Genomic DNA, 13,479 nt, shown 5'->3' with positions numbered 1-13,479 from the left:
ACAGGGCAGCTCAGCAGCTTAATCTATGGGGTGAAATCTCCACTGTTCCATGGCTTAAAAACTTTACAATCCATTGTGCTAATGGACTGTATATTAGCATATAAAGCAAGAAACTGTGTTTTTTTCCCAAATCATTTATTTTTATAACTTATAAGCAAAATTATCAACAGCTCATAAAACAAACTTCTTGCCATGAAGAAATTAACCTGAAAGACTAATATAAAATAAAATAAAAATCCTCGAGACTAAAATACTTTCTGTCAATATACTATTTATGTGCATGTAATATATCACCTTTTTCTGGGATAAAGGCAATTCAGATCTTTAGATCTCCGTTTCAATCGGGATACTTCAGTTCGAAGTTCATTTTGTAAAACTTCTCCGTCAGGGACACTTCCAGGATCTGACGAAACTACAGGAGATGGAAGAGGGCTCAACACAGTAGGTACTGGAAAACTTTCTCTGGTGCAGGTAGTTTGAGTTTCATAACGAATAAGACGAGACTGAAGTTCAGAAAATCCTCCATCTCTTTCCAAAGCTTTTCGGTCATCCAAGCAATATCTAAAATGAGTGAAAGAGCATTAAAATGTAAACCTCCATGAGAGCAACAGACTTTCCCCTTTCAATGAGAAAATAGCAGGACATTTACTTTAAGAGTTCTTGTTTAATTTCCTAATAATTGCTGGAAGGTTGAGTGGCTGGCCTATTTCCCTCCCAAGTTCAGTTTTCTTCTAGTTTGCTATATGATATGGCAAAAGATTAAAAAATGTCTTTCACTTGTGTTTCTCTTTCACTTGTGTTTCTGGGCAACAGATTAAGTTAATCCTTTGGCTTATTTTCAAAATAATACAGTTGCTGTTTTAATGCTTTTTAAAACTCTACCAACCCCTGATTTCTCAGTATGGCTGATATATGACAACATGAACTGCTGACTTCTGTTAGAAAGGGCAAGTTTATTCTCAACACAAAGATTAAAAGGGTATAAAGGCATTCTAAACTGGCTCACCAAACAGCTTAGAACATTTAGAATTTTTTCTTTGAAACTCAGTTCCCACCTTATTAACTAATTGACAGATTTTCCTTCAAACACTTCGGCTGTCTGTGCATGTGGTTTCTAGCTGAATCTGATTCAGGGCATCAATGAAATGTCAGCTCAGTGAATGCTTCTGGACTCAAAGAAATCCTAGGTTGTTAAGTACAACAAACAAGGATATCAGGAAGATCACCTAGGAGCTGTGTGACCTTGGACAACTCTTCACTTTCTTCCTTATCTACAACAGCATTAAAAAAACACAAATGGCTTCACATATGTGATGGTAGCACTGTACAAATTAAAACCTTTCTCTGTGACCTGTCATTTTTACCTGCAAAATTCTAAGATACTGCCTAAAATCAGATTTTTGTATCCAAAAGATTTAGTTCAACTCCCAAGGAGTGTTATCATTTCCTGAACATCTGACTGCTTGATGGAGGTTTTAAGAACCTTATCTTTCCCTTGTGACACTTACATATTTGATACAGACTTACGGAGTCAGAGTCCATGGATTTAAATCCAGGCTCCTCTACTTATTAGCTGTGAGAACTTGGCCAAATTACTTAATTTTATCTATGATTCTGTTGCTTCATCTGCAAAATGAGAATTATAGTACTTATCTGAAAAAGCTATTGTGATAATTTCTTGAATTGTACACATAAACACTTAGAATCAGTGCCTGAAACATGCAAACAGGGCAGTCAAGAAATGTATGTTACTATTATTGTTATCATCATCATTAGATTTATTTTCTACCACAGTAAAGCTGGCAGTATGCTGACAATATGTAGCACAGCCAGAATGTAAACCCAGGTTGGTGACTTCAGAGCCTGACTTTAACCATTTTGGTATACTATCTCTATGTAAAGTGTAAGAATCATCTTACTCCTGTTCAACACATGGCTGAGCATTAGAACCATCTGAAGAGCTTTCAAGAAATACTACTTGCTCAGTGTTTCTGATTTAATTGGTCTAGGGTAATACTCTGTCTTTGACAGTTTTAAAAATCTGCCTGGGTGATTCTTAAAAAACTACTCAAATCCATAGAAACAGAGTAGAATAGTGGTTATGGGGATGGGGAAGGTTATGGAAAGATGTAGATTAAAGGGTACAAAGTTGCAGAGTTATGTAGGATGAATAAATCTAGAAATCTAGCATACAGTACAAGGACTATAGTTAATCATATGTACTGTATATTGAAAATTTGCTAAGAGACTAGACTTTGGGTGCTCTTGGCACACAAAACAAGAGGTAACTATGTGAGATGATGGTTATGTTAGTTTGCCTGGCTACAGTGATCATTTCACTATACATACGTACATCAAAACATCTTATTATATTAAAATTAATTATATTTAAATATTAAAAATACACACTTTTTAAAAAGTCTACTTAGATGATTCTAAATTATAACTAGGACTGAAAAATCTCTGATCTACTCAGTTTAATTTAACCGGTGACAAAATTGATCTCTAAATCTGAATGTGAGTTGGTGGCAGAGTAGGGAGTAGAACCTAGGTCTTGGCATCTCTCTAGCTAATATTCTTTCTCTAGTCTGTTGCTTAAGAAACATATTTCATTAAAAACCAGAAGCAACCCTAAGGGTTACTGATGAGTCCGACTTCTATCATGGGTAATTGGTAGAATCTAGAGTAAAATTGGAAATGTGAATTTCAAGAGTCTGGCAAGAGGCAATATAATGCCTGATGAGCTTGAATACAGAAAATTTTTGAGAGAAAAGATGCATATTTTGATTCTAAGATGAATATTTCTTTCTACCTTAAGATTTTATTTCTAAGATGCAGATTTTTTTCTTCCGGTTTTAACATCTCTTGATCACAGCTGTTCATAGTGTCATAGCTTCAACTGAATTATGCACACTGTACATGTTGATGTTAATTGCCATTTAAAATATCTTTAAAATGATTATACTATGATTTGCCATCGGAACAAAAATTTACTTTGTAAATTAGAGAAAAGAAACAGAGAGGCAAGGGGCAGGGTGTATATTTGATATTAGTGAAGTAAAAATTTATTGTTGGATGAATGACCACAATTCCATATTTTCTTACAAAACAATAAGCAAATGCTTTATGGGTCCTAACAAAGAAAAACACCCATAAGACAATGAAGCTGTTTTTGTTTTGTAACTAAGAAATACACAAAATACTGCCTATCACAAACCAACCAATACCAATTAAGGCAGAAGGAACTGCCAAATCTCTTGGAATAGATGAAGGAAGTTTCAAAGCAATGAGAGCCTGGTGTGATCAAATGATTGTCAGAGTATGACAGCAGAGTTTAATTAGCTGTTTAATAAAACAGTGTATTTTACAATTAATGGCATCTTAAATTCCAGGATAGGGTAAATAAGTGAAAAAACAAACAAGCCAACAGTGGTTAATATTTTAACTTGCCTTAAAAAACATTGTTTTGCTCCCATGCCATTAACACATTCTTTCCAAATATTCCTTTGTATCAGAGAAAGAGCTCCAGGGTTCTAAAGGCCCACAATAACGTAAGAGAACTTTCTTTGTAGTTTCATATTTACTTTAAAATGTTACTTGACTTTGTTTCTACACCATAATCTATGTTGAACATAAATCGGTTCTCATACTATACACCCAAATCTTCTTGAAAAAAACATGTTTCTGAATTCATGGTGCTCACCTCCTACAACTTTGTCAGCCTAGTCTCAATGTCCCCAGTTTAATGAGCATAAATTTACAGTAAAAAAAAGTGAGTCACAGATAGATTTGTTTATTTGTTTATGGGAGTAGGTAGGTAGTGGAGAAGAGAAATACTTTTTACAGTGAATCAGAATTTCATAACATTGTATGTGTATAAGTTAATAAAGCTCTGTGTAGATTTAAGCCCTTCAGGACACAGTACTCAAATAAATCTTAATTTAATATTTTGATAAATGATCATGAAGAACATATCCTTGACAAATTTTATAAATTTGTATATATCAAGATTTCTTCTATAGTAAATTAAAAACAGCAGAAAAAAAAGAGTAGCGAGATGGAGACACAGAATAAACAAAACTAAATTAAAATTTTGGGAGAAATAATCTAAATAAGATTATATGATGGACACTTTAGTCAGCAGTTAAAATGTAATTATTGTAGCTTATTTTATTCAAATCAGTGCTTCAGTGTGTTTATAGGGCTGAAGAAGAGAAAAACAGATGTGTCCTGGGGTATTCTGGCCATGTAGCAAAGCAAATGTTAATACTAGCACATTTTCTCAACAGTGAACGCTACTTTTCATAATAATAATATAAACACTGTTGACTGGTTTCAACTTTCACATTCAAATTAAATACAAAATACCTAAAATTTTTAATTAGTTTCCTTTAACAGATTAACAGATTAACAGGTCCTAAAATTCTTATCAAACAAAGTGGGGGAGATACTGCTTTATAGCTGATGGAATAAGAAGGAGAAGTTTAAATGTGTATATATTTAAAAACATGAAAGTAAATAGCGGAGAGCTCAACTTGAGAAGAAGAACCAAATCTTCATAGCAGAGTCAATATTTTATATTGTGACAGTTAAAAATATTGACATAAGGGTATTTTTTAAAATGAGAGATAACCACCAGGGAAACTAAACCAAACAAATAATATATATATTGTTTTTTTCTAAAAACTGGGATGCAGTTAGGTAGTAATAAGGAAAGGAATTGTTGGTTTTCATTATAAACTTTTCTATAATGTTTAATTTCTAAGTCTTTAATAAAATCAGAAGGGGGAAAACAGAAAAATATATCCTATTAATCAAATGTTTATATAGTAGAACAAGATGTTCCCACTTAAATTTAATGAACTTAGTATAAATGAAAAGTAAAATTTTGGGGTGGGTGCGGTGGCTCATGCCTGTAATCCCAGAACTTTTTGAGGCTGAGGCAGGTGGATCACCTGAGGTTAGGAGTTCAAGACCGCCTGGCCAACATGGCTAAACCCTGTCTCTACTAAAAATATAAAAATTAGCCAGGCGTGGTGGTGCATGCCTGTAATCCCAGTTACCTGGGAGGCTGAGGCATGAGAATCACTTGAACCCGGGAAACGGAGGTTGCAGTGAGCCAAGATTGTGCCACTGCACTCAGCCTGGGTGAAAAAGTGAGACTGTCTAGAAAAGAAAAAAGAGAAGTAAAATTTTGTAATCAATCCACAGAAGGGTATATGGCTAAAAATATAGTTTAAGTAAAAGCTTCAGCTAAATTTAAGGCTATTTGGGAAACATCCCTACCTTTTTCATGTTAAAGGGAGAATAATAATCCTCTCAAACAAGGAATCCTTTAGTCAAATAGCAGAACTAAAAACATGGATCGGGTGGCATATCTTATCTTTTTATAATTTAGTAGCTATCTCCGAGTTGCCGATCTGTTGTTCACAAAACAATTTAAAAATCTTATCTTACCATTTAGATTCAAATTAGCATTTCATACAGGATTTCTTTTAGAAATAAATCACTATTGAATGTTATACTTCATACTGCTAATTTCAAAGTCTTCAAATTCTTTTTTTTTTTTTTTTTCTTGAGACAGGGTCTCATTCTGTCACCCAGCAGGAGTGCAGTGGCATGTTCATGGCTCACTGCAGCCTCAATCTCCCAATATCAATCGATCCTCCTGCCTCAGCATCCTGAGTAGCTAGGACTACAGGCACACACATACACCACTATGCCCAGCTAATTTTTATATTTTTTTTGTAGAGACAGGGTTTCACCATGTTGCCCAGGCTGGTCTCAAACTCCTGGGCTCAAGCGATCCACCTGCCTCAGCTTCTCAAAGTGTTGGGATTACAGGCGTTAGCCACCGTGTCTGGCCTCAAATCCTTATTTCAAGTATTTTTCACACAGACAGATATTTAATGTTGCTGGATGTATCGATATTTCATTCCTTGTTATAGTTGAATAGTATTGCTTTATATAAATATACCATAGTTTATCTATTTTCCTATTGATATCCTCCTAGGCTCTTTCCAGTTTGAGGATATTGAGAATTAAACTATTATGTGCATACTTGTATAAGTCTTCCTCTTGGAAAAATATCTAGTATTGAAATGCTGGGCCCTATCTAACAATTTCTGAGCAACTACAATGTAATTGGTGACCAGGAAATATTAATGTGACCCATAGTGTGAATATACATTTATAACATAGGGACCAAAACAATTTTGATTAAAATATATAGTAACTAATAATAGGATGCTTAAATGCTATTAAGCTGATTAATCATCAAATAACTTCTTCAACAGAAGACAAATTATTTTTGTATGCACTACTTTGCTTTTTGAGGTTTTTGACATATCCTCTTGGTCTCTGTCTCAATTTATATCATTTTATTAAAGTCACTCTTCACACAAGACAGGCTGTATCAACAACATACAGAAGAGTAAAGTACAAATAAAAACTTACTCAATTCCATGATAATGACATACTGAGGCTTTCTCAAAAGGTAAGACCTGAAGTTTCCCAGGACTAAGTTCTGGTGTCAAAACAAAAGTCTTTTCCCTGAAACAAAAAATTTTTCATTTGTATTCAAAGTTTATTTACTGACAAAAAGAAAGTTAAAGAAAGTATCTAATGAAACAAATCTGACTTTTTCCTCTACAATTGGAATTTTATATGGGACAAAGGTTAAGGCACACCAGAAAGTATAATAAGGAAATGAAGCAAGGTTAGGCCTTGGCTTTCATTACTTAAATTTTCTGTACCTCAATAAGTTATGATGTTATTTATTGCACAAAACTATTCTGAGAAATGGGTAAAACAAAAATGCAATATGATTTATAATGGAAATTCAAGAGGCAGTATTATTTCTTTCTTTTTTTGGGGGGGCGGTGGGGACGGAGTCTCACTCTGTCGTCCAGGCTGGGGTGTAGTGGTGTAATCTCAGCTCACTGCAACTTCTGCCTCCCAGGTTCAAGCGATTCTCCTGCCTCAGCTTCCCGAGTAGCTAGAATTACAGGCACCCGCTCCCATGTCCAACTAATTTTTGTATTTTTAGTAGAGACAGGGTTTCACCATGTTGGCCAGGCTGGTCTCAAACTCCTGACCTCAAGTGATCCGCCGGCCTCAGCCTCCCAAAGTGTTAGGATTACTGGCATGAGCCACTGCGTCCAGCCAAGAGGCAGCCTTATTTCTGGAAGATTTTCCTTGGTAGAGTAAACTAATGTTTAGGCATTTAGTTAAATCCTTTTCTGCAGGGGAATAATTAAAGTCAACTTGAATCTTTGGTAACAATAAAAGTATTTACTTCCTACTAAAACACGTGGGACCCAGATCTTTCTTTGCTTGAGAATGTAGTCACTGGCACCTACTTTAAGAGTCAGCAACTTTTTAAATATCAGAGGGTATAGAGACTAACTGCTGAGTTCAGTTCTTTTTCTGAAGTAGGTTTTCAATCAACTGGCATGTTAGAACTAATCATATGTCGAGTTTACATAAAATATTCATGTTCAAGCCTTTCCACACCTAGAACTACAGCGATATATCAAAATCTGGGAAAGAAGAGGGTCACTGCAATTAGATTAAGCTCTCTGGATTATTCCGATAGGTGCCGTCCTTCTCTGAGCTGGAAACCACTGTTGTAATGTAATGGATCATGGTCCTGAAGCTCAGAAGTTCAGGAAATGGGGAAATTATGCAACAGTGGTCTTTAAATAGTTACTAGGTAAAATGAAATACCAGGGGCTTGAGTTCAGAAGAGTTGGAAATGGTATGTAGAAGGGTAAGTAAATAGTAGAGTACTAAGAATAAATTTGCTATCACATTTTCCCCCCTATGGCATTGGTAATGAAAACTGTCCTGCCACTGAAAATTATCTAGGGTACTATGATAAGCATTCGAAATTATTACATTAAAATGTAAAATTCATGCCAATTAATGAATCCTAAAAAGCAGACATTATATTCAAATGCATCCATTTAAATTATTCCACAAAAAGTAACATTAGTAAATTACAATGACCCCAGTATTTCGATGATTATTAAAATAATTTTGTAAAATGGAAATCTTTATCTAGCATTTTACTTCTTTCCTTTACCATATTGTCTCTCATTTCTCATATCAATCGCCCTCAGCAACCTTACCTATTTTTGTTTAATTTCACTCACAAGTTTTTCTTTCTAAAATAAACATGTTGATAAATATGTGTTTTGTCAATGTTTATTATTTCCTTGGTATATACATAGGAGTCATGTTTGTACTTTGTTTAACACAGTATTTTGGATGGCTTCTTGTGCAGGTAAACATTTAATAAGAGCATATAGGTTCCTGATTTATTACCATGAAAACTCATCCTTCAACTCTAATGTTAACAGAAGATACATTTGATAGCCATGCAGTTCTTTACTAACATTGAAGAATCACATCAAATTTTCCTAAATAAATCACCTACAATTAGTTTCCAGAAAGAACTAACTTTATCTCCCCTACAATGCATCTAGAAAGACATTCTGTAAAAAGAGTACAACTTACATAAATAATTCAGTTTAGGCAAACCAACTGACTCTGCCAGTTTGTGCTTAATGATTTGAAAGGACAGTAATCCAATAACTAAATAGATGAAAACATGTATATTTCTTTACTTTCTTGATTCCCACAACAAAAGGTTATCAATCTTTCAAAGTTATGGGAAAAAAATTACTCCAAAATTATATAATTTTTATGTCATTAAAATCATTAAGTCATTAAGACTCTCAAATTTTCAGTTGCTCTTTATCTCTCTCTAGTGAACATGCACATAAAGCAATAATGTTCCAGCAATATTTCTGAGATATAACTGCCTTCAAATAACTCCTTTGCAAAATTCACCTTTAAAGGCAATATTTATACAGTATAATTCCGATTAAGCTTATAAAAGTGATCAAAGTGATCTACAATTTTTAAGGTCTTTTGGAAGGTTTTCAAAGTAATGAATTAACAATTAAAAAGACATTAGAGTAATTAGTAAATTATTCAATTCTCACAGGTATTTGATGTCACAATTTTACAGTCAATTTTGTCAAAGTCAGCAACATGCAGCATTTATTAACTAGTAACTTAGTGAAAACTGTCTTGGAAGTCAAATTAGTTGTAATTTATTCACGTAGACACTGAATTCTTACTTGGCAATGTCATAGTTTCCAAAGCATTTTTATTACATTTTCCTGTTCTTCAGGTGAAAGGCCATGCTTTTTGCTACTATTAGGCATGCCTGACAATGCTCATGCTGAGTAGTGGCAATATCAACACTACAGTAACACAGAAAAGAGAACTAAAAAAAAAATTTTGTAAGTCAAATTCCTATTTTTTTTAGAAAGCATTGTCCTTTGCATACCAAATAGAAGTTACTGACTTCTACAGGGAATATGGTGAGTTTGCTTTTCTTATTCCTGTTTCTCTTATATTCAATACCACAAAACAGTAGGATATTTTGATAAGGTAAAAAGTGAAGATTAAGGCCAACAGACAAACATTGGGATCAAACTTATAAATTTTCCCTGAGTAGCATAGGACATCAATTAATAAGGAAATGAGACACAATTTTATTTAAAAGTAATTTTTAAAAAGTTAACTGGAAATTATAAGTTTATAACCTACCCCTTTTGAATCGGTAAAGGTTGAAGATCTCCAATGGGTAATCCATCTGAGGTAAAGTACTTCAGCAATTCTTTAGCATCCAACAATGTGATTGAGTCCCGAGGACCCTCTTTGTGGCCCAGCAACTGTTCAGATGAATGAGGTAATGAACCAGTTCTGGGAAAATAATGTTATGCAGATTTATTAAAAGTGGATTCAATCCAGAGAGAAGCCAGAGTCAAAAAAAAAAAAAAGCACAGTCGGGAAAAGAAGATGTGAGCAGAAACCAGAAAAACACACCAGCAACATGGGAGAATTAAACATTTAGGACAGACAATAAAGTAAAATATTTGCAAATAACTTAGTTTCTAACTATGTTTTAAAAAATCTTTAGGTCACAATAAAACTTGCAGTTATCATGTCAAGAAGTAGTATTTTAACTACTTAAAAGAAACATAATTACATTATCTATTAATGATGGCCTATTATTCAGTGGTGTGAAGTTACCAATTCTATAAAACTTAAATCTAAATTCTCTTGTATGTTCTGAAACCCCACAATACTATAAATTTTTGAGGGAAGTGACTGAATGTTCCAATTTTCCATGAACTGGAAAGATTACTTGAAGCACAACCGTGAAATGAGACAATAATCAGAAATCTCCCCAAAGTCTCTTGTAGCCATGATGATGACATTATGAATAAGCACTGAATCATTATTATATACCTGAAATACATGCAGGACTTTATATTTTTCAAACTACTTTACATATAATATATTCTTAATCCTCACAAGTTTCCTTGAAAAAGATGGAATAGGTCTTATCTCAAAATGAAATAATAACTAAAAATAAGTACTTTGTAAAGTGAAAATCGGCATGCCAAGCTTAAAAAGCAATCATTATTCCGACTTGTCAAGTAAAGATGCTAACATACAAAAGGTTACATTACAGACGCAGGGTGATACAGCTATTTAAAATGATAGAACCAGACTAACTCCAAATTAGTTATTATTTCTACTCTATGACCCTATAAATGAAAAAAAACTCACAGAAAGTTTTAAATACCGGCAAGTGAAAAGCACTGTAGTTTCAGTTAGATGTTTCCAGTTAGAGGTTTCAGTTAGAGGTTTCACTATGCACTGAATCAGATCACCTTAGCTCTGTTACCATAGCATAAATAAAATATTTCAATGTCTGCACAGAAAATTAATTTCCTAACTTCATATTAACTCAACTATTTCCTGATTATTACTCAAATTAAGCATAATTACTGATAATTACATGATTAAAATGTTGACATTACAGTTTTAAACATATTTCTGTATATTAAGGGTCAATAAAATACTGACAGTGCCTCTTTCCTCTTCCTATTCCTTTGTTTTTAAACTGAAAATATTAATCTAATAAAAACAGTCAACAAAACACTCAAATTCTCTCCGGACTTCATACTCCAGCAGGGTGGGAGCTATACAATGATTTTAATTTGTAAAGATACAGTGCCTGTCTCAGTGTCAGTGGTGATGGCCCAGAATAAAGCCCCTGTAATTTAGTGCTGGGTGAAGCACCAATGCTTCCTGCCTGCTGATACCCTAAAGTATGCCCTAAAGTGAAGCCTGACAAACATTCTCTACCCCGGCTCTCCCTTCTCCTAACATTAATATAAGTGAGAGACGTGGGGAACAGGACTAAACCTATGGAAAGAAAATACATGCCAACTACCTATAGAAAGCAACAGGGCCCTATATTCCTAGTTATGAAGAGACAATCAAGGACAACCAGACACTGGAGAAAAATTACACATAAGAGAAAAACACCAGAAGAACAAATAAAACAGCTGCAAATGGAAATGAGATAATTCAAGAAACAGATAAAACAAATTTAAAGAAAATTCTAATTAATATCCTTACAGTATCATCTCAAGTCTTATTAATAAAAGAATAGGTTGCTAGAAAAAATACAGCAGAAGAACAAGAGCAAACTATTAGAAATTTAAAATATGACTACCAAAAATTTTAACAGAAAAGATGAAACCAAAGGTAAAGGAAATTCCCCAGAACATAGAGCAGAAAAGTTAGAGATAGAATATTAAGAAAAAAATCAAATTAAAAAACATCAATCCAGAATGTTTAATATTAATTAAAATAGGTATTTCAGAGAGAAAGAAAAAAAGAAAATGAAGGGAAGAATAGTATTGAAGAAATAATAAGATATTTCTCAGAGCCACAAAAAGACAAAAGACTTGAATCTAAAACATCTCATACCATGGCCTCTTGTAATTTCAGAACATTAAAGAAAATAGAAAATTGTAAAAGTTTTAGAGACAAAATAAAATACTTATTGAGGAACAAAAATCGATGTGGCATCAGACTTCTCTTTAATATATGAAATCCAAGAAAATACAGAACTAATCTAAAATGTAATCAAAAGAAATACCAGGATAACAAATATGCAGGTAGAGTCAGCCAAGTTAGAGTAGGAACTCAGAGAGAAGAAAAATAAAATTAAGACTTGTATACTGCAAATAGCATAAGGTTTAGAGATAGAAGATAAAAAGGGAAGAAAAATAAGGGTGTTAATTACTCATCTTTCCCAGTGGGAAGTTATAAGATATCATCTAAAATTGGTAGGCAAGAAATTGAGGTTCTCTCATGGGGAACCTGTCCTTTTCTCACTCTTCTTTCTTGTCTTCTCCTGCCTAACCTATAAACACCAGGGATTCTTAAGGAGTGGTCTTAGCCTCCATTTCTTTTTGCCTCATAGTCTCACCATGTAACTCATCAACCATCATGTATTTGGAAATCCCTACTGATGATAACTCCAAATTGAGTGAGTTCCAGATATCCCCACAGTCCACTTGTTATTTCCACTTGGATAGATCAAACGTATCATCCCTAAAGAAGAATTCTTGACTTTTTCTCCCCAAAGCTGTCCTCACCCTAAGTTTCCACCCATCTACCCCAGAAGAACACCACTCACTCGACTGAAGCCAGAAATCTAAATGATCTTCAACATTTCCTTTCCCTCTATTCCACATCTAATGCATCATAGGAAGCTTTTCACCAGCTTACCACTAACGTTATCTCCCAAATTTATTTCCACTACTACTGCTCTAGTTTGAAATTACAGTCATCTCTCACTTAGCCTACAGATAGAGCCATCTGTCTCTCTGCTCTAATCTCTCCCTCCTGCAATTTATTTGCCGTAAGAAAGCAAAATTTTTGCAAAATCATATCCCATCACTCTTTCATATGAAATCCTCCCACCAATGCACTTAAAATGAAATCTGAACTGTGTATGAGGACCTATTTGGTCCTGTGTGACTGAATGTACTTCACCCATTTATCCGTTAGGTCTCAGCTCAAATGTAACGTCCTCTAAGAGGTCTCCCTGACCATCCACCTCATCTAAGTGAGTACTACCACTTCCCTCCCCACAACAAATAAAATTTTTCTCCCCCAGTCTTTTTATTTCATTCATTACACACAGAATAATTTACAACTATTACATTTACTTGTCTGGTTACTTGTTTTGATTGCTGCTGTCATTAAAAGCTAAGCTCTAGATGAGAGGGGCAGTGCACAGCTTGTTATTCCTCATATTCCCAGCGCCTGACACATGGTTGGTACTCAATAAATGCCTGTTTCATGTGTATGAAACAAAGCTATAGCAAGTAATAAAATACTACCCATGGAGAAGCTAAAAATAAAAATGTGATTTGTAATATTTCGGAGAAAAGTAATGTAAGAGAGCTTAGCTTCTCCTCTTTTATTTCATCATTTAACAATTATGTACTAAGGGCCTACTATGTACTGAACCAAAATAACAAAAACAAAATAAAACAAAAAATCCTGCCTCATACAGTTCATTCATAGGCA

The 13,479-nt window shown here is 34.0% G+C and overlaps 1 protein-coding gene across 3 annotated transcripts in view; it reads right to left on the bottom strand.

The window, feature by feature from the left end:
* The window catches only part of MTBP (MDM2 binding protein), a 78,218-nt gene that overhangs the window by 7,151 nt on the left and 57,588 nt on the right, over nucleotides 1–13,479 (bottom strand). Inside the window, exons 16-19 of one of the 3 annotated variants that reach the window (XR_928318.3) lie at nucleotides 9,625–9,780; nucleotides 6,457–6,552; nucleotides 1,056–1,183; nucleotides 483–561 (exon numbers count right to left, since the gene is read on the bottom strand). Coding sequence is in view for 2 of the 3 variants with exons in the window: in NM_022045.5 (NP_071328.2) it covers nucleotides 295–561; nucleotides 6,457–6,552; nucleotides 9,625–9,780 (519 nt within the window). In the remaining variant the exon portion in view is untranslated. Of the gene's footprint in view, nucleotides 1–294; nucleotides 562–1,055; nucleotides 1,184–1,249; nucleotides 1,272–6,456; nucleotides 6,553–9,624; nucleotides 9,781–13,479 lie in introns of those variants that run through there. The other 2 variants (NM_022045.5, XM_011516962.3) reach the window with 2 other exon arrangements.

This window comes from Homo sapiens, chromosome 8 (assembly GCF_000001405.40).
Source record: "Homo sapiens chromosome 8, GRCh38.p14 Primary Assembly".
NCBI lineage: Eukaryota > Metazoa > Chordata > Mammalia > Primates > Hominidae > Homo > Homo sapiens.
Note: the sequence above shows the minus strand (reverse complement) of the source record. Positions and strands in the feature narration are given on the sequence as shown.